This window comes from Homo sapiens, chromosome 1, assembly GCF_000001405.40.
Source record: "Homo sapiens chromosome 1, GRCh38.p14 Primary Assembly".
Taxonomy (NCBI): domain Eukaryota; kingdom Metazoa; phylum Chordata; class Mammalia; order Primates; family Hominidae; genus Homo; species Homo sapiens.
In genome coordinates this window covers 182,278,445-182,304,577 of record NC_000001.11, presented here as the reverse complement: position 1 = coordinate 182,304,577, position 26,133 = coordinate 182,278,445, and the positions used below count along the sequence as shown (strand labels likewise).

The window sequence follows — 26,133 nt, the reverse complement described above, 5'->3', positions numbered from 1 at the left end:
AAGAAGTAGAGCTGGAACTAGAACCCAGCTCACCAGGGACCTGGTCCCACACTACCCTAAGTTCTCCACTTTTTGTTGGTCTCAAGCTAAAGTAGGAAAGAAAGCTTGGTGTTAGAAGAGAAGCTTGAGAGTGCAGCCGCCCCCTTTTCCTTCTTCACTGGCACCGTGCCATTCACTGGAGAGAGAGGAGGACTGACTCCCTACGCAGACCCATGGCAGACCCCTTTACAGAGGTACCCATCCTGTGGGGTGTACCCTCACTCCCCCAGGGACTTTTCAATCTTTTTGTTGATTTTCTCTAGAAACACTTTTTTGGCAAGAGCAAAAACCCTGCAAATCATGGGTTCCTGTAAGACCCTCTTGGAATTCTGTGAAAGGGTAAATGTGATCTTGGAGAGTTATGAGAATGGATTGGTCTATTTTCGGAAAACAGCACCCAGTGAATTGAAAGCAGAAGTGTTTTCCAGGACAGACAATTGGTGTTTAAGAGAGAGAGAAAAAGAAACGAGGAAAGCATAAAACAGTTGTAGAAATGCCACTTTTGAAAGTGCATGCTTTACTTCTTGTTTCTATTTCTTCAAATCCACTGACTTCTGAAACCATGTAAATTTGTCTCTGCTCCTATTACTCTACTGAAATGTTTCCTGGCTAAGTCACCAATGACTCCTTTTTGCAAACCCAACAGCTGCTTTTTGGTGCCCATCAAAACCAATTGTCTGTCTTGGAAAACACCTCTGCTTTCCAGTTTATTAACCCTAGGCACTGAGTTCTGGAAGCAGGCCAATTGATTTTTATAACTCTCCAAGGTGACACCCTTTCACAGAATTCCAAGTGGGCTTTATGGGAATCCATTATTTGAGAGAGTTTGTGCTTTGTGGGGTTTTGTTTGTTTGTTTTTTTTTTTTTAATTCTCTTGACCCTCTCCAGTGGCAGAGAAACTTCTGAAACATCCTTCTTCGAGGCTTTGGCAATACTTTTCATTCTGGGTTCTCCTTTTTTCCCATCTTAGTTGGCTTCTCTTGCCTTGCATCCAATTAGATGCTGGTATTCCCTAGGATTCTAATTGTAGATTATTTTTTCCACACTTGCTGAGCCCATGCATGAATGATGCACGGGTCCTCTGCTGTCATGCATCATATACTGAAAGTTATTAAATGTCTATTTCTAGCTCCTGCATCTTCTGGGCTCTAGACCTAGAGTATCAGTAATTGCCTGCTGGATTTCTTAACCTGGATGACCTAAAACCATGTCATATGCTACAAGTCGAATACCACATTATAAGCCCAAATATCTTTTTCATCCCCAGTCAAACTGCTACTCCTCCACCATTTCCTGTCTCAATTAATGGCACCAATATTTGTCCAGGTACCCACTCCAGAAACCTGGGATTTATCCTCATACTCTTCCCTCTCTTTCAACTGTGAGTTCAATATATTGTGAAGTTCGATGAACTCTACATCCAAGATCTTTCTTCCCACCACACTTTGCTATCATCCATCACCCATGACTTTTTTGTTGTTTTGTTTCGTTGTTTTTTTTTTTTTTTTTTTTTTGAGATAGAGTTTTGCTCTTGTTGCACAGGCTGGAGTGCAATGGTGTGATCTCAGCTCACTGCAACCTCCGCATCCCGGGTTCAAGCGATTCTCTTGCATCAGCCTCCCAAGTAGCTGGGATTACAGGCATGTGCCACCACACCTGACTAATTTCATATTTTTAGTAGAGATGGGAGTTCACCATGCTGGTTAGGCTGGTTTCGAACTCCTGACCTCAAGTGATCCCCCCATTCTGGCTCCCAAAGTGCTGGTATTACAGGCATGAGCCACCGTGCCCAGCCCTTTTTTAAATCCAGGTTTTCTTTGTGTCAGCACATCCCTCCACGTTGCTTCCCATAATGATCATCTTCAAAGCACACATGTGATTTTCTCTCTCCCCTTTTAAAAATCTGCAAAGACTCTCCATCACCTCCAGGATAAAGTGCCATCCCCTGAGGGTGGTACAGAGGCTCCTCTGCAGTGCAGCCCCAGCTTGTCTCCTGGAGTCTCCTCCTGCACTCCCTGCTGATTGAACATGCCATACATGTCCTCCTCCCTCTTTGCTTTTGCCACTGTTATTTTCCTGTTCTACCAAGGATAAACCCTCTCTTCTCACCTAACCAACTTTCCCCACTCTTCAAAGCCTCCTAGGCCAAAGCTGTCACCCCCTGTGACTTTTCTTGATGCTCCTCTTCAAAACCTAGTAGAATAAATTATTTTTTGTTCCCTCAGCGCTTTGTTTATGTCTCTGTATAGGAATTATTGGATTATTTTATAACTACTTGCCTTTTTGTTTGTCTCTCCCTCTCTCAGGGACCTTTCCTTATTAATACATTACTGTAATTCCAGAGTGCCTGGCATATAGCAAACACTCAATAATGTATGCATTTTAATGCTTCCTCACTCTCTTCTTTCTAACCCCTTTCTAGTCAGCTGATTAAGGTATAAACAAAACCCAACTCATATTTTTTCCAGCTGAACCAGTTCAAATGAACACAGCAGGCCCTGAGAAGTTGTAATAAGAACGAAAGATCAAGGACTTGGAGAACAAAGAGCACATTGAGTTGTTTCAGTAGTGTTGACTGGGATTGCACCACCCCCAAGTGCTTGCTCAGAAAATAACAGTAATGCTTTATAGCCTAATCTGGTCTTACACTTTCCAAAGTGGAGGCCAGCTGGTGTTAACAGCATCACGGTGAATAAGCCAAGTGGTGTGTGTGGTGTGTGTGTGTGTGCGCGCGCGTGCATGCTGGTGAGGGTTTTTCAGTGACAGAGAAGGTGTTATCTCTATTTGGAAGGTGGGAAGCAGGGCTGGAATTGGACTGCTGATCCTCTAATGCAAGGCTGATGAAACTTTTTTTGTAAAAGGCCGGATAGTAGATATTCTAGGCTTTGTGGGTCATACATCTGTGTTGTACCTGCTCAGCTCTGTCATTGCAGCGGAAAAGCAGTCTTAGAGAAGATACATAAACAAATGAGTGTGGTTGTGCTTCAGAAAACTCATTTATGAACACTGAAGTCTGAATTTCATATGTTTTTCATGTGGCATGAAATGCTATTCTTGTTTTTGACTTTTCGTACCCCAGTGATTAAAAAATTTAGAAAAATGTTAACTCTTGGGCTAAGTGGGCAGCAGGCAGGATTTGGCCTGCAGCCATGCCATCGTTAGGCCCCATGCTCTAATGCTTAGTTCATCACGACATACCCGGAGTGGCTGGATTTGGGGTGGGGTCATACGGAGGGTGCTGACCTTATGCAGTACTGACTACGTGCCAGTCTCTGTGTTTCAGCACGGTGCATATGCCCACTCATTTCTTTCTTTCTTTCTTTCTTTTTTATTCTACTGCGTGTTCTCTGAACCTGTCATTCATTTCTTACAACAACTGTGTGAGCGAGGAACTAGTGTCACCCAACTTGGCAAGTGATCAGACTGCTCACCCAGCTTGTAACTGTCAGTGTCAGACTTTTACCCAGGTGTCTGGTTCTGAGGTGCATGTTCTTACCACCACATCCTACTACTGCCTCCTATAGCAAAATATCATTGCCATGGAGATCATATGTGATGGGTTATGTTTTTCAAAAACACAGACATTCTTATCAAAATGGGGTCAATTTTCCAAAAAAAAAAAATTGAGGACAAGGAGGACCGAAGGACAGATGTTGACATATCCAGCTGTGGGAAGATTGGCTCAGAATCCCCCAGGACTTAATATACTTTTCTGAATTTGTTATTGAGTTCTTTCTCCAGAAATTTGGAGGAATGCAGATAGTCCTCTTACCCTCTCAAAAGATCTTCCCTCTTGCTCCCTTTCCACCCACCCACCCTCCACCAACACACACACACACACACACACACACACACACACACAGAGTTCCTAGTTGTGCATATTAAACTACTGTCAAGTAATCTATTTGGCATTAGTAGCTAAAGAACAGATGTCAACTTATTGCTGCTTCCAGAGGGCCCTGCCAGATGAATGCAAAAGTTATCAATTCTCCCAGAAGGAATTACCCACAACACTTTTGTGCCTGCCCTTTCCTCCCTGCTGTTTCCAGTTTCTTCTCCTTGGACACCCACCCACTCTGAATCCAACACTTGACAGTGGCTCAAGGCTCTGACCACAGTGACAATGTAAGAAGAGTGGGTGGTCTCAGCCACCCTCTGCAGTTCTGGGAAGTTTACTCCAAGCTTTGCTTCTCCCCAGCCCCCAATTCCCCCTTCCTCCCTGACCTCATAAGCTCATTCCCTTCAAAAATCGGGGTGTGTCTGTCACCCCAGGCAGCAACAGCTGCAGGCCCTGGGAGCTCAGTGGATGGTGATGCAATTCAGTTGGGGGTGGGGGTAGAAGCTGGTGGCTGGGTGAGGGAGATAAGAGGAAACAAAAGGCAGTTAAAAAGATCTGTCAATGAGAAGGATGGTTAGAGCCAGAGGAGGACGTGGGTGTCCCTGAGCTGATGTGAACCTTGCCTCAACTCCTTGGCTTTCTCCCAGTCCTTCTCTTCTGACCCTCAGGGGTCCCTGGAAATCTGCTACCTCCTGAGCAGGGCACTCTCCTCTCCTCTCCCCTCCCCTCCCCTCCCCTCCCTTCCTCTCCCCTCTCCTCTCCTTTCTCTTTCTCTCTTTCTCTCTCCCTTCCTTCCTACCTTCCTTTCTTCCTTCCTTGCTCTCTCTCTCCTTCCTTCCTTCCTTCTTTCTTTCTCTCTCTCCTTCCTTCCTTCCTTCCTTTCTTTCTCTCTTTCTCTCTTTCTTTTTCTTTTTTGAGATGGAGTCTTCCTCTGTTGTCCTGGCTGGAGTGCAGTGGCACGATCTTGGCTAACTGCAACCTTCACCTCCTGAGTTCAAGTGATTCTCCCGCTGCAGCCTCCTGAGTAGCTGGGACTACAGGTGCCCGGCACCAGGCCAGGCTAATTTTTGTATTTTTTTTGGTAGAGACGGGGTTTTGCCATGTTGGCCAGGCTGGTCTCAAGCTTCTGGCCTTAAGTGATCTGCCCACCTTGGCCTTCCAAAGTGTTGGGATTACAGGCGTGAGCCACCGTGCCCGGTCCAGGGTAGTTCTAATACTTTCCCAGTAATCCCCTTTTTATCTCCTTTGCCTTGTTCCCCTCCTACTCCTCGAATCTTTTTGGAGCAAGCTCTGGGGGCACATTTAGGTTGGGGCATAGCTGTGGAGCCACTGGCCACAGGTCTGTCTCTGAGCTTGGTCCTACAGGCCTGTATATGCCTGAGCCACCTTTTCCATAGGGCTTTAGCTCACCTTCTGCCCTCATATAAGGGTGATGGCCTTCGCCAGACACTGTGCTAGACAACAGGAGGGAGCGCCTGTGCCATGGGGTTGGAGGATCTGAGGGCCTTAGTACTGAGGTCACTCCTCAACTTTCAGGATTTTTTTTTTTTTTTTTTTTTGAGACAGAGTCTTACTCTGTCGCCAGGCTGGAGTGCAGTGGCACGATCTCAGCTCACTGCAACCTCCGCCTCCCCGGTTCAAGCGATTCTCCTGCCTTAGCCTGCTGAGTAGCTGGGACTACAGGCATGCACCACCACGCCCAACTAATTTTTTGTATTTTTTGTAGACACAGGGTTTTGCCATGTTGGCCAGGATGGTCTTGATCTCTTGACCTCATGATCCGCCCGCCTCGGCTTCCCAAAGTGCCTGGATTACAGGTGTGAGCCACTGCGCCCGGCCAGGTCACTCAGCTTTCTTCTGGGCTTCTTGATGACACTGGGAGACAGGGAAAAGTGTTCTACATTTGAAAAACAAATTAAAAAATTATTAATCCCCACCATTACTAGAGTCACATTTGCTCACAGTAAAAGACTTGGGCAGCACAGAAATATACAGGAAAGAAGAAAGCAAAGATCACCTGTAACTCCAAACCTGGAGAAAACCTCTCTGGGCATTTTGGTGTATTTCCTTCTCTCTTTGTTCAATGCCTATCTTTATCTCTATCTCTGCTTATAATGCATGGTGTCTATTGGACGTCGTGCTTGTCTCCCCATCCACATTGGCATTGTTTTCTGAGTATTTCCCATTAAAAGTTCTTCCAAAGCAATGATCATTTAATGAACAGGTATTCACCTTCCAAGATGAAGACAATGTTTTTATCTAGGTATTAGCATTGAATTAGTCTTGACTAAGACAATGTTCTTATCTAGGAATTAGTATTGACTATATTAACATCCCCATTTAACACCACACACACACACACACTCATACATACACACACACACACTCACACATACATACTTCTGTCTGAAAGTTTATTAGGAAGGCAGGTAGATGAAACAGCCCTCACTGCAAGGCACAGGCCCTTTACGTGAGATCTATGGGGAGGATGTGGGGCAGGAGGCTGGGGTAAAACATGGGCCTGGGAACATGGCTTCCAGCTACTCGTTGCCCCTCTTGAAATTCCCACCCCTTGACCTAAGAGCTTCCTCTGGGATGGAGTGTGGACCAGCTACCTGACAGGTGGGACCAGGGCTCAAAACTATGTGGGTGACAGGGTGAGGTGGCTCATGCCTGTAATCCCTGTACTTTGGAAGGCCGAGGCGGGCGGATCACATGAGGTCAGGAGTTTGAGACCAGCCTGGGCAACATGGTGAAACTTTGCTTCTACTAAAAATACAAAAATTAGCTGGGAGTGGTGGCATGTGCCTGTAGTCCCAGCTACTCAGGAGGCTGAGGCAAGAGAATTGCTTCAGCCTGGCAGTAGGGGGAAGGGGGGCAGCAGTTTGCAGTAAGCCGAGATCTCGCCAGAGTTTGCAGTAAGCCGAGATCTCGCCACTGCACTCTAGCCTGGGCGACAGAGCGAGACTCTGTCTCAAAACAAAAACAAAAACAAACAAACAAAAAAACCCTATGTGTGTGTATGTTTTGATGCTCAAGAAAGTAAAATGGTCTCTGCAAAAAATAAAACTGGATTGGACAAGGGAGTTTTATCTGTTTTCCTGAGAGTGCCAACATTATGCTCCCACATCATTGTTTATATTCCACATTGCCTGGATTGCCCTTAATCTGGCACATACTCCAGAACAGAATGCACTGTTTTCCTCAGTGATGGTGGCCAGCATACCCTGAAGGCCACCAGCACAGCCTATGTGTCCAGTCTCCAGAGGCAGGACAGAGGTAGTCTTTTGGATTCTTTGGGACTAGCACAGGACAGGATAGTGGAGTGTAGGTGGGGAGGGCAGCCAACAGCAGCTGTGAACCCATCTCAAAGAAATCCCACACGAGGCTGGGCATGGTGGCTCACGCCTGTAATCCCAGCCCTTTGGGAGTCCGAGGCAGCCGGATCATGAGGTCAAGAGATCAAAACCATCCTGGCCAGCATGGTGAAACCCTGTCTCTACTAAAAATATAAAAATTAGCTGGGCATGGTAGTGCACGCCTATAATCCCAGCTACTGGGGAGGCTGAGGCAGGAGAATCACTTGAACCTGGGAGGTGGAGGTTGCAGTGAGTCGAGATCGTGCCAATGCACTCCAGCCTGGTGACGGAGTGAGACTCCATCTGGGGAAAAAAAAAAAAAGAAAAGGAATCCCACACGAGCTTCAAGGGGGTGTCCCAAGGAACGGCTCTAAGACTCTAAGGGTCATGTTTCTCAGCTTTGAGGGTTAGCAGCCAGACGACCCAGGGACTGAGACCACTGGAAGTGGGAAAGAAGTGAGTAGAAAAATGAGGGTGAAGATGAAGAAATAGGAGAAGGGCTGGATTACTCAAGAGGGATACGATCATTCTGAGCCATCCAGAAAATGAGGGAATCATCAGGGTTTTGGTGGGGTTTTTTTTTTGTTTTTTGTTTGTTTGTTTTTTGAGATGGGGTCTTGCACTATCTCTCAGGCTGGAGTGCAGCTCACTGCAGGCTTAAACTCCTGGGCTCGAGAGATCCTCCTGCTTCAGCCATCCAAGTTCCTAGGACTACAGGTATGCACTACCACACCCAGCTAATTTTTATTTTTTGGAGATGGGAATCTTATTTTTTTGCCCAGGCTGGTCTTGAACTCCTGGCATTAAGCCATCCTCCTACCCCAGCTTCCCACAGGCATGAGCCACTGTGCACAGTTTGGGAACCATCAGTTTTTTAAAAAATAGGATTTAATATTTAATATTTCACAAAGAGCATCTATGTATTGCCTGAGAGGATGGGGGAGGGTAGGGCAAAGGTAGAGAAGGGGAAGGTAATCCCTCACTTTTAGTAATTAGGGCCTCAGTTATTTTTAGTAATGCAGGCTCAACAGGTCCTGAATGGGCAGGAAGGAGATGTTAAAGGAGGAAAAAGAGAAAGATGGAAGATAAAAAAAGATAAGAAGATCAGTGTGGTGGCTAACGCCTGTCATCCTAGCACTTTGGGAGGCCAAGGCAGGAGAATTGCTTGAGCCCAGGAGTTCAAGACCAGCCTGGGCAATAAACAGTGAGACCCTGTCTCAGAAAAACAAAAACAAAAACAAAAACAAAACAAAAAATTAAAAAAGGAGAGAAAGCAAGTATGAGTATCCATTGGCAAATATATACTAAGTGTCTACTATGTCTTAGGCTGTGTGCTAAGAACTGGGAATGTAGAATTAAAACTTTCTGATCTGCTGAGAGAGAGAAGAAGGAGGAGGAGAAAGAAGAAGCAAAAGCAAGCAAGAGAGACAGAGGAAGGAAGGAAGGAAGGAAGGAAGAAGGAGGAGGAAGAGAAAGAAGGAAGGAAGAAGGAGGAAGAGGAAGAAGGAAGAAGAAGAAGAATGAAAGCTTTCAAGCCCTGCCTTCAAGGAGCAGTATGCCACAGAAACTTGGTGTACAGATTGTCACTGGTTGTGTTACTGGGCTGCTGCCGAGCTGCCATCCCTTTATGGTTGCTTGTTCTTCAGGAGGAAGTCCAGTCTCCACTGTTAGATGTAATTTGTCTTAGAATCTTTGGAGGGGCCGGACTCTATAAGGCAAACCAAACAAATATCCTTTTTCTTCATTTAAATAGGGTCTGGCATGTTTAACATTCATTCCTTTTTTTTTTCTTTTCTTTTCTTTTCTCTTTTCTTGTCCTTTCTCCTTTCTTCTTTCTTCTCTCTTTTCTTTTTTCGTTCTTTCAGATGGCATTTTGCTCTGCTGCATAGGCTGGAGTGCAGTGGTACAATCTCGGCCCACTGCAGCCATTGACTCTTGGGTTTAAGCAATTCTCCTGCCTCAGCCTCGGGAGTAGCTGGGATTACAGGTACACACCACCGCACTCAGCTAATTTTTGTATTTTTGTAGAGACGGGGTTTCGCCGTGTTGGCCTGGCTGGTCTCAAACTCCTGTCCTCAAGTGATCCGCCCGCCTCAGCCTCCCAAAGTGCTGGGATTACAGGCATGAGCCACCATGCCCGGCCTCATTCATTCATTTTTCAAACCTCGAGGTTACACCTTACTACTAAAGGCATGCTACAAAGGATCTATCTAACCATTTTTTTTTTCTTGGCACTTTAAAGAACAGGGACCCTTATGACAGCCTCTCTCTGAGGCATTGACTATCTTGGAAACCATAGATTAGATTAAGAAGGGAGGTCAAAACATTCTTGAATCACTTAAAACTGGAGACTACATGGTTTCAAGATGAAACCCCTGGGTTGCACATTGGGAGCTGACATGGGAAGTCTACTTGGAGCTTCCTTTTTTTGGCTTTCGTTGGTATCCCAGTGGCTTATTGCCTGAGCAGAATCACTGAAGGTGTGTGATATGACTGAATCAATGCTCTGCACTGGCAACCAGCAGCCACCTGCAGCCACCTGAACCACCAAAGACTTTTGGGACACTCTGCTGCTGTCGTGCAAGGCCCAGCTTACAGAGATGAAGAGAGTGTGTTCCCTTCCCTTGGGTTGCTTACAGCCTAAGAGAGGAAGCAGAGAGGTAAGCAACTGATTGCAGCTTGAAACAAAATCAAATGAGTTCTAAACTGTGGAAGAGGCACTGGGACCATGAGGACTCAGATGTGAGGGCACTTAATTTTGTTAACAGAAAACCTGATGGAGGGAATATTCATTTCAGCTGAGCCTTCAAGGATACATAAGATAGCACAGGTAGAAAAGATGGAAGGTGATTTTCCAGCTGAAGGAATTATAAGGGATTTGCACAGAAACATGAAAGCATGCAGTGGTTCCAGGAAAAGTAGCTCTTTGGAGGTGGCTTGAAGGGAGGGAGAGTGCATGGGGTGATTAAGTAAAAGTCATGGGCCGGGCATGGTGGCTCACGCTTGTAACCCCAGCACTTTGGGAGGCCGAGGCGGGTGGATCACCTGAGGTCAGGAGTTGGAGACTAGCCTGGCCAACACAGTGAAACTGCGTCTCTATTAAAAACACAAAAACTTAGCTAGGCGTGGTGGCAGGTGCCTGTAATCCCAGCTTCTCGGGAGGCTGAGGCAGGAGAATCGCTTGAACCTGGGAGGCGGAGGTTGCAGTGAACCAAGATTGTACCATTGCACTCCAGCCTGGGTAATAAGAGTGAAACGCTCAAAAATAAATAAACAAATAAATAAATAAAAAGTAAAAGTCATCTGAGAGACTCACAGGAAGAAACTACAGCAACCTGCCCACAGACGGATGCTTAGGTGGGAGGTAGTGCACGTAGCCTGGCATTCCAAGTCAGGCACACCAGAGTTTGTCTCTCAGCTGTCTTATTATTGCTGACTGATGTTGAACAACTTATTGAACCTCATTTTCATATTATATAAGTGGAAGATAATATATCTGCATTTTAGATGGGTGTTAAAGTGCTGAACAAGTGAAAATGACAGACCCTCAATAAATGTAGCCCTTTCTTTTTACCTCTTCAGGCGGAAACATAATTGAGCATCAGATGATTTTCTATATTGTCATTCATTTCACAAACAGTTATTGACCAACTTCTCTGCATTGGGCCCTGTGCTAGAAGCTTGAAGGGTATTCAAAAATGCAAGCCATCAAAGAAAGGATAATATGGTTGTGAGATGATATGAGGAGAGATCAAAGGAGAAGTCAATGTCCAAGATAGCAACCCATCAGAGCCCTCACAAGGCTGCGCCCCATTCATGAACAAAGGAGCATCCAGGCAGTGAGTGCTGTGCGTGATGTACAAAGAGTGGTGTGCATGGTGGACAAAGAGTGCTGTGAGTTCAGAGTACGGTGAGGTCACTGGGATGGGCTGGAAAGGTTTCAAGGAACAGGAGAAATGTGAGCCAGACCTGGAACCTAGTTAGCATTTGGAGAGCAGAATCACTGGACGTGTGTGAAGTGACTGAAGGAAGAAGAGAGGAAAGGAATGATTGTGTTAAGTGGCAAAAACCCAGCCATGGAGCGAGGTGAGCTTAGGGGAAGTCTGGTTTGACTGTATAGGAGGAGTCCTGGGAGATAGGGCTGAGAAGGAGATTGGTGTCAGATTATGGAAAGCTTTGGAGGTCAGGCTAAGGACTTCAATTTCCATGATAGGCAATGTGTTTTTCATTGTGTGCTCTAGGGCACACAGGTCCACCTGTCACCTACACCCTGCATTTTTTTAATGCCACTTATTCTGTAGTATTCATATATTGTACTATTTTCTCTATTAGAAATATGTGTCATACTGTGCCCTAAGCAAAACTATAAATTCCACAGGATAGGTCCCATGAAGATTTCCTAAGTTGACATGATTTAATGAGGTAGCAGATTTTAGAAGCTGGGAGGTAAAGAAGGTTTAGGGATGTCCATGGAGAAGCTGGGAGCATACTGCTCTGACGGTTTGTAGAAAGTGCCAGCCACTGCACTGTCTCCACACTTGATGCCTCTCCAAATGTTGATTTTAATGCTCTTGGAGTTGCCTTGATGGTTTGGACCTCTAGTTTGAACAATATCACTGTAGACCATATTTGATGTTACTTCCCATACACTAATATCAGAATCCTGAAATATAGGTGTGATGTGGTTTGGCTGTGTCCACACCCAAATCTCATCTTGAATTGTAACTCCCATAATTCCCACGTGTCATGGGAGGCACCCGGTGGGAGGTAATTAAATCTTGGGGGCGGGTCTTTCCCATGGTGTTCTTCTCGTGATAGTGAGTAAGTCTCACAAGATCTGATGGTTTTAAAAATGGGCGTTTCCTTGCACAAGCTCTCTCTCTTTGCCTGCCATCATCTGTGAAAGACATGACTTGCTCCTCCTTGCCCTCTGCCATGATTATGAGGGCTCCCCAGTCATGTGGAACTGTGTAAGTCCATTAAACCTCTTTTTCTTCCCAGTCTCAGGTATGTCTTTATCAGCAGCGTGAAAACGGACTAATACAAGGTAGAAGGCGCATTTCTGCTGAAGGGTCTTAGATCTTCCAGATTCTTTCAGATTTTGCCTGATCAGACTCCTTCACTCTCCTAAAACAAACCAACCAAAGTAACAATAGAGCAATAGTAACAAACTCTTCAAGTAACAATACAACTGCTGTGTGTTTATAACTCCCTTGCTCTCTAGAGACCCCTGTGCTTTGATATTACCAGTTGCTCTTTCTCAGCTTAACTCCGAGGAAGAAATCAACCAAGAACCTTGGGAATCAAGTGACCAAGGGCAGAAAGCAAGAACGGTGCAGTGCAAACATGGCCTGCCTGGATGTTTGCTTTGGTTTAAAGAGTTACTAGGGATAGTATACTAACCTTTTATTTTGCAGGGGCCTTTACTTTCCTGGTAAATAGCTGTTTTTAAAGTAGCAGTTTCTCCATGTGACTGGGCAAACAGATCCTTAAAATAGATCTGACCCTTCTTTCTGTGGATCAGCCAGGGTGGCAGCAGTGACACCTGGGCCACTGGTCCCAGTTGCATGCCAGGAAAATAATCAAGCAGTAGTGTCTGGGTACTTTTCTATCCAGGGCACAGCTGTTTATCTCACTGCCTCTTGAAGCCATAGCCTGTGGTGGCCCCGACTACCAACAAGTAGTGGACTCCACACACAAGTGTCTGCAGCCCCAGGCACTGAGAGAGACCCTCCCAGTGGGGCATGTGCAGAGACTGCCTCACTGGCCTGGAGTAGATCACTTTGGTTTCACGACTCTTTTTAATGTGGTTTTCCATAGCAAGGGCAGCTAACTGGGGTGGAGGTGAATATGGGGACTGGGAAGAGGCCATTCATAGTGGTTCCTACAAGGAACAAGGTCAGTGTCTCCCCTTCCCAACAGGAGCCTGCTCCTGCAGTTGGGGGTCTGTTGCTAGTAAGTTGACTGGGTCATGCCTAGCCCTCAAGGCCCTGGATGCTGACCATCCTCAGCCTGTTTTTCTGCCCCCCTCCATATGTATTTCCTGCTGGAGTAAGACCAGCTTTTTACAGGCACTCCCCAAAACATACACATATGTGAAACTTGTGCCAGTCTTCTCTTCTGGCCTTTGTTCATGCTGTTCTTTCATCCTGGTAAGTTCTTTCCTTTCTGTATCCATTCAAATCCTTCCCACCTTTCAAGGTCTCGTATAAACCTACTGCCTCCGTAAAGCCTCCTCAGAATGTTCCTGTTTGGCCCTGGTTCTTGTCTCATTTCATGTGGGTCAGTTCAATCTCCCCATGTAGTTTGCAAGCCCCAGGAAAGCAGAGTCCATGTCAGGTCCTTTAAAGGTGTCACCCACATCCCCTAAAATAGCTCTCATTTCCTGTATCACTTATCTCTCCTTTGTAATTCACTGTTTAAAAAAATACCTTTTTTCCCCCCATAAGTGACTGGGAATGATGCTGTTCACTTCTGAAATGCCCATAGCTACTAGCACAAAGCTGGTGATCAATAAATGCTTGCTGATTGGATAATTTATCAATGGCCTATATTGAAGAGAGAAAATAGTAACTAAAATGATAAAAGCTTGAGCATGATCCATGATTCTTACTTTGGATCCTTGAAGATGATCATGTCTAAACACATAATGGCCTTTTCATGCAGTTCTCTTTCATTTAATTGCTTAAAGAGGGAGTTTGACTCCAGCCTCTCTTATATTCAGCTACAACCATTCAAACTAGTAAACTTTAAATGAACATCCTCACTGTACTGGATCCTGCTCATGGGATCTGAGGCCCTGCTCCTGGAGAAGAGAGTGGAAGAGGCTTTATTAGTCACCAACCAATCATTTCCCGCTTAGCCCTAATGGGGAGTAAGCATGACAGCTATGAGCAGTAGCCACAGGCTGTTTAGGGCAAGGGAAAACACAGGGAAGGAGATCCAAGGGATGCGAAGCTGGAATGAAGGATTTCAGCTTCCAAGAGCACAAACTGATTGATTCTCAAAGTACATACCGTAACCTGAAGTGATTCATGACCAATTATGCAAGTGGCATAGCAGACACCAGAACCAAATGAGACCTCCAAGGGAGGGAAGCCAGGCCAAAGCTCTCTCTGGGGAGCAGCCAAACCTTCAACAGTCATGGAACAAAGTCAGGAAAAGGCCCTGAGAAGAGCTAAATTTATCCAGGTTGCCTGCGGTGCCTGAGGGCATGAACTTCAGGGAAAAAAGAGCAAATGAGGAATTACTCATATGCCAGAGAGAGAGAGAGAGAGACCAGAAAAGACAGGACAATAGCTATGGCTGGTGGTTTACAACAGCACAAGAGGGAAATCTCACTAATGTTGACCAGCAGCAGCTGCCTAGCCATATCACTCTGTGTGTGTGTGTGTGTGTGTGTGTGTGTGTGTGTGTGTGTGTGTGTGTGTTGGTATGGGTGTATGTCTTTAAACTGAGGACCTTTATACTAGGGATTTAGGGTGGACAGAAGATCAGGAACCACATCAAGCTTGCACTACCTCTGATGGCTCCTAGAAAGGTAGTATTTTCCCAGAGAACTACGTAAACAGCTGAGAGTTACAAAGGCAGGCCAGCTTATACCCAATGATTGGAGCATGCAATACCCAGGGTACAATAGCTTGGTGACATAATGGTAGAATCCTACCTACTGATGGATCACAGAGAAAATGCTGAGATCATTGTCAGTCTGGACAATGTTTCTAATTTGGAAGGAGTTGGAGGAAGCCATGATAATGGGTTATCTTGCCTACTCAAGGGTGGCTCTCAAAAGTAAGGTGGGCAGGAGGAAGCAGGAGGTGACGGAGCACTTGCTGAGTAGCTATTGGTAGTTTTTTGTAAATACGCTTTCATTCAATCCTTTGAGGTAAGTATCATCTCCAATTTATAGATGACAACACTGAGACTCATGGAGTTTACGTAATCTTAACAAGGTCACCCTGATGATAAGGATTGAAGTCATGGTTCCAACTTAGGCTGCTTGCTCCAAAGCCTGGGCTTTTTCTACCCTACTGCCATGGTTCCTAGCTCTCTCTACACCTCTCAAGTCTAAAATCCCAGCCAGAGAGAACCTCCAGGGAGAGCCTAGTGTAATCAGGACATGGGGGTTGAGATTGTGAGCTCTTTGCTCATAAAACCTCCTGGATCTTGGACCAATCAAAAGCTAACAATCAACCAACACCTTCCCTGGGCCGACCAACTACTTTCCTACTTGGAATTTCTTCCAAAGTGACATTTTTTTAGAAAATACACTTAATGAGATGAAAGGTGACTGTTGTTGCCTTTTCTCTTTGCTTTTAGCATGTGATAACCTTTCTTTCTGGTCATGTCCCAGTCTTCTTGGTCTTTGCCCTCAGCACTGTGAAAGTGCATATTTGCCCAACCTTTATACCACATAGCTCTGAGCAGTACATGTTCTGATCTGGACTAAGTTCACTTAGCAGAAGAGTGGGTGGCCTCCTACTGACCCTTTCTGGAAACACCTGTCTTCAACAGGTTCTCCTGAGGCCCATCCTGGTGGCAACTGTGCTAGGATGGGGGCAGAGTGGGTGGGAGCCCATTTCTCCACAGGAAATCCAGAAACAGTCCCACCAACTTCTCCAGGATTGACCTTAAATGCCTTCACCCTCCCTTAAATCCTCCCACTTCATTCCTTTTATCACTTCAAGCATTAGCTACATATCATTGTAACCCATGTTCAATACTCAAGAGGAAAAGAAACAATCAGAAACTCACACCTTGGCTTGCTTATTCAGAGACTAGGGTCCATTCTAGGAGTTCCCTGTATTTTCCCTTACTCTTCCCATCCTAAGGCTGGTGCTCCTTGGGATTTGGGCATCTTCTGTTCTCAGTGTATTCATTCTCCCCGGGCAATCTCATCCTTTATTATGACAATGATCACCATCTCAGATCTCTCTCTTCTTAGACCTCAGCACCCACCTCTCTACTAGACACCTCCATTTGGAAGTTCCTCAGGACAAAATACATGCTCAATAACTCATTGCTGAATGCATGGATTGTTTAAACCCCAAAAAATGGGCAGCTCAGGCAGAAGTAAGCCTCTGATTTGTTGGATTTTATAGTTCCCCCTTTATTTTATTTTAATTTATTGTTATGGATTTGTGAGGCAATTTGGAGTGGTGGAAGGATCAGAATCCTCAGAATTACAACTCTGTTTAGATCCTGACCTTGCTTTAACATCTATTTCTTTTTTTTTTCCCTTGAGACAGAGTCTTGCTCTGTCACCCAGGCTGGAGTGCAATGGCATGATCTCGGCTCACTGCAACCTCTGCCTCCTGGGTTCAAGTGGCTCTCCTGCCTCAGCCTCCCAAGTAGCTCAGATTACAGGCACACACCACCATGCCCGGCTAATTTTTTTGTATTTTTAGTAGAGACAGAGTTTCACCATGTTGGCCAGGCTGGTCTCAAACTCCTGATCCACCTGCCTCGGCCTCCCAGAGTGCTGGGATTATAGGCGTAAGCCGCTGCATCCGGCCTTTGACATCTATTTCTATCTGGCTATCTGAAGGTTACAGGCTAAGCTCTGAGCTAGGCAGTATGGAGCCCCATCCAGGATTCTAGATCTGGTTCTGTTGCAAAACGGCTCTGTAGCTTTGGGCAAGTCACTTTGCCTCTCTGGATCTCCTAGTCTCTGAATAAGCGAGCCAAGGTGTGAGTTTCTGATTGATTCTTTTCCTCCTGAGTATTGAACATGGGTTACAGTGATATGCTTGAAGTGACAAAAGGAAGGAGATGGGAGGATTTAAGGGAGGGTGAAGGCATTTAAGGTTAATCCTGGGGAAGTTGGTGGGACTGTTTCTGGATTTCCTGTGGAGAAATGGGCTCCCACCCACTCTGCCCCCATCGTAGCACAGTTGCCACCAGGATGGGCCTCAGGGGAACCTGGTGGTTGGATCTCCTGGTTGAATTGCTAAGTTGAATTATCTAAGACCCATCTAACACTTACCTTTCAGGGTGAAGTATTCTAGCACCTGTAGGTAGGAAGTGTTTTTCAGACTAACTAACTGATAGTTTTTTTCTGGAAGGAGATACTATGAATCTCAGCAACTTGGAAGAGTTCATTCTGTTTTTCTAAAGCTTTTTTCAGACTCTCTGAATGAGGGTGAGGACTAGAACTAGTTGTTGTTTTCAACACTATCCAAAATTCAGACTTCTGTCATGGTAGGTGTCCACATAGCAGGCTTAAAGATGAATGTGAAAATATCTGTCTCCACAGATGCCTATGTTTGTCTAGCTTGTCCACTTTCTTTCCTTCTGATACACAGACTTGCAGAGGCAGCTGTTGCCTGAATACACAGGCAAGAGTTTCTCTGCATGAGGCTTGGGCAGCCCCATTCCCCCACAGGATCCACCGCCACCCCTTCGGGTGTGACCACTCAATAAAAACAACACACTATAAAAAGTGTTTTTAAATCCAAAAAAAAAAAAAGAGTTTCTCTGCATGGATGATTGGCTGTAAGGGAGCTGCCACTGCAGGTTGATAACTGCTTGACAAACATGCCAGACCCAAGAACCATGGCTCTAAGTTAACTTTCCATGTATTCACCTCAGTAGGTATGTATAGGGATGCTAGGTGTTTGAGGGATACTATTTAATTCTGATAGTAAATTTATTTAAATTTTATTTTGTTATATATATATATTTTAATAGAGATGGGGGTCTCGCTACATTGCTCAGGCTACTCTCGAACTCCTGGCTTCAAGTGATCCTCCCACCTCGGCCTCCCAAAGTGGCACCTAGATCTCATTTAAATTTTAATCAAAGTGACACAGACCCTGAATTTAAACAAGTTAAATGTGCTAAAAACACTTAACTCAGCAGTCCTGTAGCCTCCTGACCACCTTCTCCATGTCCTGTTCCCCAGAGGTACTTGCATTCAAATCTTTCACTCTTTCTAATGATATGTACTTTCATATTTTATTTTATTTTTTATTTTTATTTATTTATTTTTTGAGATGGAGTCTTGCTCTTGTCGCCCAGGCTGGAGTGCAATGGCGCAATCTCAGCTCACTGCAACCTCCACCTCCTGGGTTCAAGCGATTCTCCTGCCTCAGCCTCCTGAGTAACTGGGATTACAGGCACCTGCCACCATGCCCAGCCAATTTTTTTTTTTTGTATTTTTAGTAGAGACAGGGTTTCACCATGTTAGCCAGGCTGGTCTCAAACTCCTGACCTCAGGTGATCTACCTGCTTTGGCCTCCCAAAGTGCTGGGATTACAGGCCTGAGCCACTGTACCCAGCCATACTTCCATATTTCAAAGAATATGCTCATACTGATGTTGTTTAATTAATAATTTGATACTACTATTATTAGACAGGGTCTCATTATGTTGCCCAGGCTGGAGTGTAGAGGCTATTCACAGGCATCACAGTGCACTACAACCTCAAACTCCTGGGCTCAAGCAACCTCCTGCTTCAGCCTCCTGAGTAGGTGGTACTACAGGTGAGCACTACTGTGCCTGGCTAACTTGAAATAATTTAAACATTTTATTGTAGATGGCGTTTTAGATCTCTATTGCTCCCTTTTTCTTTTCATACGATTCCAGTTCCTCCAGCAGAGAAGTCAAATAATATTCAGCATTTAGATTATTATGACTATTGAAAGATTGTTCATGCTAAGCCAAGTATTGGATTATAATTTCAATTTTTGATTTTTTAGGTAATTAATGATTGCCTGCTTACATCTTTTGTTTTCTTATTACTTTTTTTTTCCTTTTTCTTTTCTTTTCTCTTTTTTTGAAACAGGGTCTCACTCTGTTGCCCAGGCTGGAGTGCAGTGGCATAATCACGGCTCACTTCAGCCTTGACCTCCTAGACTTAGGTGATCCCCCTACTTCAGCCTCTCAAGTAGCTGGGACTACAGGCATGCATCATCACACCTGGCTAATTTTTTGTAGAGATGGGGTTTTGCCATGTTGCCCCGACTGGTCTTGAACTTCTGGGCTCAAGTGATCTGCCTGCCTTGGTCTCCCAAAGTGCTGGTGTGAGCCACTATGCCTGGCCCTTAATTTTTTTTAACCTATGGCTAAATCCCTCTACCCCATTAAACATCCTCTCTGTATAAAGTTCCATGTGGTCAGAGCAGGTGTCTGTGGAGGATGGAGATACTTTTACATTCATCTTGAAGCCTTCTGTGTGTACAGCTCTATTTTTTCTTTTTTTTTTCCCTGTAGACCTTCCTCCAGGGGCTTCTGTCTTCTTGCTCCACTTTGGGTGATCCTCCAGGCCTGTAGCAAAGCTGTCCTTGTGGGACTTCCCTTCACGGTCATCCCAGGAATTTCCTTCATCTTTCTCTTATATTGCATTCCCTATTTCCTGCATCCCATGTTTTCCCCTTTCTTGGTTTACATTTTCATTTTGGTTTCATTTTATTTTCATTTTGTCACAGTCTCTAGAAATCTCTAGTAAAGGATACATAGGAGGCAAATTTTTAAAAAGTTTTGTTTGTATGAAAATGTATTTTATGTTCACATTTAATTGGGACCTTCAGTTGGTAATAGTTGAAAATAATTTTTCTTCAGAAAAACATTTTTTCATCTACTAACTTTTAGTGCTGATATTGAGAAGTCTATTGCTATTATTATCATGTGTTTCTATGGAAACTATTTTCTTCCTGGAAGCTTCTGATTATCCCTAGTATGTTATAATTCATTGTTTTTATTTAACAGTAGGGTTTGTCAGAGCTGGGTGCAGTGGTGGGTGCCTGTAATCCCAGCTATACGGGAGGCTAACAGAGGATTGCCTGGGCCCAGGAGTGAGTTCAAGACTAGCTTGGATAACATAGACTCCATCTCAAAAAAAAAAAAGTAAGATTTGTCAATGGATGGGCTACATCTTAGGGTCCTCAGGTGGCAAGTGGGCTTTTCCATACACACAATTGGTCTTATTTGGAAGACAGGAAATGCAGTGCAAAGGCCAGGACTTTGAAACGGGGTCAATGAACTAGTGTGGTAAAAGTTTAATGCTTTTCCTTCTGTCATTTAGGTGGTTTCCGCTCCCCTCCTCAACTATTCTTTCACTTTAGAAATTATCAAAGGGATTAGGTAAGTGATTACCCCCTTGGGGTAATTTCAGATTCTGTCAGAAGCCTGGAAACTTGGACAGGATGTGAGGTTGGAATTTCAGTTCATTGAGCCTAAAGAGCACCCTCTTTGAGGATGGATACCAACAGCCACCTGGAAAAGACTGGAAGAATCCAATTCCACTATCAGTGGAATTGGAATCAATGTGATTATGCCAAGCAAAAGAGTGAAACTGTTGTATAGATATGAACTCCTGATGCTATAAGTTTTTACATTTTGTTTTCAAGACAGCAGCTTCTTGCAATATCACTCCATGATTATTGCTGTCAATCAGGAAGTAGCCTGTAACAGGATACTCATATAGAGAAATAATAGATAGCATTGCCTGCAGATAAGTTGAAATGCCTTCTCCCTGCTCTGAAAACTAGACATTTTTAGATTTCATTTATTTATTTTTGAGATGGAGTCTTGCTTTGTCCCCCAGGCTGGAGTGCAGTGGCATGATCTCTGCTCACTGCAACCTCTGCCTTCGGGTTCAAATGATTCTCCTGCCTCAGCCTCCTGAGTAGCTGGGTTTACAGGCTCCTGCCACCACCCCTGGCTAATTTTTATATTTTTAGTAGAGACGGGGTTTCTCCATGTTGGCCAGGCTTGTCTCAAACTCCTGATCACAGGTGATCTGCCCACCTTGGCCTCCTGAAGTGCTGGGATTACAGGTGCCAGCCACGGTGCCCGGCCTGAGTTTTCAGATTTTAAATGAAAGATACCTGATCTATGCTCCTTCTTCTAGCCACAGTCTGCCATGTAAACGTATTTGGTCTGTTCCTGAACCCAAGGGGAATTCTTTTCTCTTTCATCTATCCATCCATTTATGCATCCAATCATCCACCTTTATCCTACCTGCCTGTCAGACCAAGTCTAAGAAGCTTTGCTCAACTATTTAATTCTACTGATTTCTCCTTTTTTTGAATACCTGCCACATAGTTATTGCCATCCCTCATTTTAGCATGTAGCAGTTCATGACTTAGATTGACTTCAGCTGTAGTCACAAACACAAATGCCTACCAAGGGCCAGGTGGATGACGTATCTGAAGTCCGCTCCGTGAATCAGATAGTAGACCTCTGGGGACTGTGTGAACTGGAGAATGGGTGCTCTCAGTAAGGGACAGCTGCCCTTTACTCCAGCCAGTTGCTGCCCACCAAAAATCCAGGTAGATGTAGATCTTCCAGTTTTTCAAGAGAGAACAGATGTCCAAATTTTTATGACTTTTTAAAGTGGTGGTTTAATTTTACAAAATCACGGTGTAGGACAAACACAATGTGTGTTTCACACTGTACATTTGCAGCCTCTGAGGTGATGAGCTTCTTGAGCTTATTGTTTCTGAATTCCATATGGCAGCTCATACATTAACTAACATATACAGTAGGTGCCTGATAAATGCTTGCCACCCTTTCCAGAGCACCACATCCAAGCCAAGTAAAATTATTGCCTCAGCTGATTCTCTGTAGCCTGTAGGTGGTGTAAAAAGAAATTTTCCCCTAAAACTTATTTATGTATTAAAGATACCCTCCTTGCCCCCAAACCTAGTGGGGCTTGATGTATTTGCTTAGCAGGTTAAATGAACTATTAGTGTATTTAAATGTTCTTTTTTTCTTTTCTTTTTTCTTTTTCTTTTTTTTTTGAGAGACAGGATCTCACTCTGTCACCCAGACTGGGGTGCAGTGGTGTGATCACGGCTCACTGTAGCCTCAAACTACAGGATTCAAAGGATCATCTCACTTCAGTCTTATAAGTAGCTGAGACTGCAGGCACATGCTGCCACACTCAGCTATTTTAAATTTAATTTTATTTGTTGTAGAAATAGGGTATCACTATGTTGTCCTGGCTGCTCTCGAACTCTTGGCTTTAAGTGATCCTCCTACCTTAGCCTCCCAAAGTGTTGGGATTACAGGCATGAGCCACGCACCAGGCCAGTGTGTTCTTTACCATCTTTAAATGAAACCTTCCCTCAACCTTCCATTCCTCTACGGCTACCACTAATGGTATAAACTTGCCTTTTATTTATCACATCATTTGCTTTTCTGTTATCCTTCCACATATACTGCTCTGCAGAAATCACGCTCAGTAGGACCACCAGTGACCTCTTCATTGTTAAACACAGTGGTGCCAATCAGCCCTGGCCATCCTCTCAACTGACTTGAATCAGCTGATAGCATTTGATACTGTTGATCATTTCCTTCTCCTTAAAATTCCCACTTTTCCTGGTCTTTGCAGCTTTACTCCCTCCCACATTTTCTTCAGTCTTTCTGGATGCTTCTCATCAGGCTCCTTTTCCTGCCCAGTCCCTAAAATGCTGATTTTCTGCTGGTGTGATTTCAGGCTGTCTCCCCTCTCCCTCCACACATTCACCCTGGGTGACCTCATCCTCTCCCATGACTCTCCCCCTGCATGAGCGCTGATGATGCCCAGTTCCACCATCTCGCTCCAGACTCATCTAATCAGCTGCTTTCTGGCAGTGTCTGTCTCCATTGATACTTCTCACTCAGCATGTCCAAGGCTGAGCTCATCACTCTCGCTCCACCTCCCTTCTCCTCTTCCTGCATCCCTGTCCTCTGTGAGCAGCATCGCCATCTACCTTGTGGCCTGGACGTGAATCCTGAAACTTCCTCCCTGTGTTGGATTCTCCAGCGAGCACAAAAAAAGCATAGGCTTGGAACACCAAGGAAACAAACACAGAGTGCCAAAAAATTATTTCAAAAGTGTGTAGTGACTTACACGCATGTTTATAGCAGCACAATTTGCAATTGCAAAAATGTGGAACCAACCCAAATGCCCATCAACCAACGAGTGGATAAAGAAACTGTGGTGTGTGTGTGTGTGTGTGTGTGTATACATACATACATATATATATATATATATGATGGAATACTGCTCAGCCATAAAAAATTATTAATTAATGGCACAGCAACCTGGATGGGATTGGAGACTGTTATTCTAAGTGAAGTAACTCAGGAATGGAAAACCAAACATTGTATATGTTCTCACTCATAAGTGGGAGCTAAGCTATGAGGATGCCAAGGCATAAGAATGACACAGTGGATTTTGGGGACTCAGGGGGTAAGGGTTGGAAGTGGGTGAGGGATAAAAGACTACAAATTGGGTTCAGTATGTACTGCTTGGGTGATGGGTGCACCAAAATCTCAGAAATCACTAAATAATGTACTCATGTAACCAAACACCACCTGTTCCCCAAAAACCTATGGAAATAAAAAAAAAAAAGCTTAAACAAACAAGATTGTAGTGCTTTAAAAAAGCATCAAAATGCCACCCTAGAAAAAACAAAGCTTATTGGCTTTCTTCTACTTATTTTACGATTAGACAGTACTTTTATTGTGGATGTTGTATACAGGGTGGACATAAACTTTCCAGGCTTAGAGCCACTAATGTTCTTTCTACAGCCTGATCATCCTCAGCCACCCCTTCTCCATGCCCAATTGGTTCCTAAGCCCTATTGATTTTGCCTCATTGACAGCAGCTGAACTATCGCTAATACTGTCTTAGGGCTTCTGGTTGTCTGTGACCTGGATTGCTATAGCGGCCTCTTGACTAGCTTTCCCTTCCCACCCATCTATCACAGAGATGTCATCTGTTTCTTGTATGTCACTCTTCTTCCTAAAATCTTTTCCTTGCCATCTAGTAACTTCAAGGGAAGTTTCAATCCCTTAGCCTAGCTGACAGGCTGTGTGCTCCTTTACCTCCATGCTACTATTTCACATGCAGCCTTCACTCTAGATTTCCTACATTTACCCTACTCCATGCACCCCTCCCCTCTACCCCTCCCCAGCTTGGAAGGGTCTGCGTGACAAGTGAGAGAAAAGGTGGGAGACTCTTACCCTGTGTTCTCTAGGGAAAAAAAGGAATTCTCCCCATTTCGAAAAAGCCTCCAGAGGAGAAATGATCAGACATACAGAGATAGAGTTCAGCCAAGAAACATTTTCCTTCTGCCCTGGGCTTGTCTTTTGGTCATAGCTTTTGCCCTTAAAATGCAGGTAGATTTGTCACTGGGGCCACATGCAGAAGAGGGCCATTGTCTTCTTTCAATGTTCTGCTCAGTGAGAACATCTTCACGTCACCAGCCATGAGCAAGCCCGCTCAGCTGACACAGCTTATGTCCTCTATAAACAGGGCCCAGGAGAATGCTCTGTGTGCCTCTGGTCAGGAGCTCCGTGGCTCGGCCTTGGCAGGGAGAAGGGCATTACTCACTGGACCCCCGTCCTCTCCCCAACATTGTTTTCCCATTTTCACCAGGGGACTGAAAGGGGGATGGGGGAGGAGGGCGGGAGAACACAGGAGAGTGGAGCTGTTTGTTTTCTCCTTCCTGTTAACAATGCAACATCTGTTCCCCAGCCTGGCAGCTGGACCAAAGTGAATTGATGAGAGCATTCGTGCCTCTGGATCAGGGGGTGGAGAGTGGGAGAGGGAAGGAGGGAGGGCTGCCCCAAGGGCTGAAGCCTCTCTGAACAATAACAATAGCAACAATCATGAGAATATCTTCAACACCATTTGGCAGGCTGACTGTGGAGCCCACGGAGCCCGTGGAGCTGGGTAATTTGATGTTCCAGCAGATCCACATATTGTAACGAACACACCGAACAGAGATCTGAGTGCCTTCTTTTTTTTTTTTTTTTTTTTTTAAGAATCGCCCAATTAAAGGAATAGTGTTTACCTAGTAAATATCTATTTTGGCTCATGCACAGTGATAGAAAACATCTTTATTTACCTAAGAATGAATCTGAGAGAGGTGAAGCTGACAGAGGTGGAGTGACAGCAAAAAGGCAAAATGAGGGTTAACGAGGCAGCAGTGAGGAGAAGGAAGGGCCCACCTTCTCCTGGCTTCCTCCTGCCTCCCTCCTGTTCCTTCTAGTTCATCTTTGGCTACTTCCTTCTCAGCTCTGGTGTCTACTGGTGGCCTGTCCCGGGCTCAGTCTCTCCTCTACCTGTACTTACTCTCAATGTTTTTGTCTAGCCTTATGGCAGTGGGATCCACCTAAATACTGACCATTCCCAATTTATACCCTTGACTCAGACCTGTCCCCTGAAGGTCAGCCTCATGTATTCAACAGCCCACTTACCATCTTCAACTGAGTATCTAAAGTCATCTCAAAGCTAAGCATCACCAAATGAGCTTCTTGGGTCATCCATCCACCAAACTTGATCTTCCATAGTTTTCCTCATCTCAGTGAATGGCAATTACATTCTTCCTGGACTCTTCTCTTACTCTTATATCCCACAACACACTGTAGGCAAAGCCTGTGGGCTCTGTCTTAAAAATGCATCCCAGAACCTGGTCACTTCTCCCTGCCTCTACTACTTTGTTCCCTGTTCTAAGCCATCATCAGTTCTTTCCTAGATTATTACAACAGCTTCCTGACTGGTCTGCTTCCGCCTTTGTGCTGCCTTCCTCTTGCCCAGCCTGTTCTCAACACAGCAGGCCGAGAGACCCTGTAAAACCATGATTTTGATCAGATTCCTCCCCTGCTCAAAACCCCCATATGCTCCCCATCGCAGAGAAGTCTGCGAGGTTCTCTCCAGTCTGGCCTCCTGCTAACCCTCTGACTTGTCTCACTGCTAACTACTTCAGCATTGCTGGCCTCTTGTGTTTCTAGAACATGCCAGGCACTCCCAGCTCCAGGCCTCTTCCTGGATGGCTCTTCTCTCAGATGTTTGCTTATCTTGCTTTTTATCTTTATGTCTTTACCCCAGAATTCCCTACCCTCATTTTTTGGTCTATTTTTCTCCATAACACTTGTCACGCCTGAAAAGTTCCATCTTCCA

At 44.9% G+C, this 26,133-nt stretch overlaps 1 long non-coding RNA gene across 1 annotated transcript in view, besides 6 other annotated features; it reads left to right on the top strand.

The window, feature by feature from the left end:
• LINC01344 (long intergenic non-protein coding RNA 1344) overlaps positions 1-26,133 on the top strand; it is a 110,117-nt gene that overhangs the window by 9,484 nt on the left and 74,500 nt on the right. The gene's annotated exons all lie outside the window — the stretch shown is intronic.
• Positions 545-594: a silencer, noted in NCBI's record as "silent region_1617". NCBI's record gives its function as "represses an Ori minimal core promoter by ATAC-STARR-seq in GM12878 lymphoblastoid cells {active_cell/tissue: GM12878}" and the evidence as "EXISTENCE:reporter gene assay evidence [ECO:0000049][PMID:35858748]".
• Positions 2,352-2,869: an enhancer, noted in NCBI's record as "NANOG hESC enhancer chr1:182270844-182271361 (GRCh37/hg19 assembly coordinates)". NCBI's record gives its function as "activates a minimal SCP1, AML or CMV promoter by ChIP-STARR-seq in primed H9 embryonic stem cells {active_cell/tissue: H9 hESC(primed)}" and the evidence as "EXISTENCE:reporter gene assay evidence [ECO:0000049][PMID:30033119]".
• Positions 11,190-11,484: a silencer, noted in NCBI's record as "tiled region #4291; HepG2 Repressive non-DNase unmatched - State 2:TssF". NCBI's record gives its function as "represses a minimal TATA promoter and a strong SV40 promoter by Sharpr-MPRA in HepG2 cells {active_cell/tissue: HepG2}" and the evidence as "EXISTENCE:reporter gene assay evidence [ECO:0000049][PMID:27701403]".
• Positions 12,353-12,852: an enhancer, noted in NCBI's record as "500 bp enhancer 10 fragment used in low-throughput reporter constructs". NCBI's record gives its function as "activates both an SV40 promoter and a TATA-containing promoter in HepG2 cells {active_cell/tissue: HepG2}" and the evidence as "EXISTENCE:reporter gene assay evidence [ECO:0000049][PMID:23512712]".
• Positions 12,530-12,674: an enhancer, noted in NCBI's record as "145 bp enhancer 10/11 fragment used in the MPRA reporter construct; PK_construct_1085". NCBI's record gives its function as "activates an SV40 promoter by MPRA in HepG2 cells {active_cell/tissue: HepG2}" and the evidence as "EXISTENCE:reporter gene assay evidence [ECO:0000049][PMID:23512712]".
• Positions 12,597-12,608: a transcriptional cis regulatory region, noted in NCBI's record as "FOXA motif; enhancer activity is lost when this motif is scrambled". NCBI's record gives its function as "necessary for full MPRA enhancer 10/11 activity {active_cell/tissue: HepG2}" and the evidence as "EXISTENCE:site-directed mutagenesis evidence [ECO:0005528][PMID:23512712]".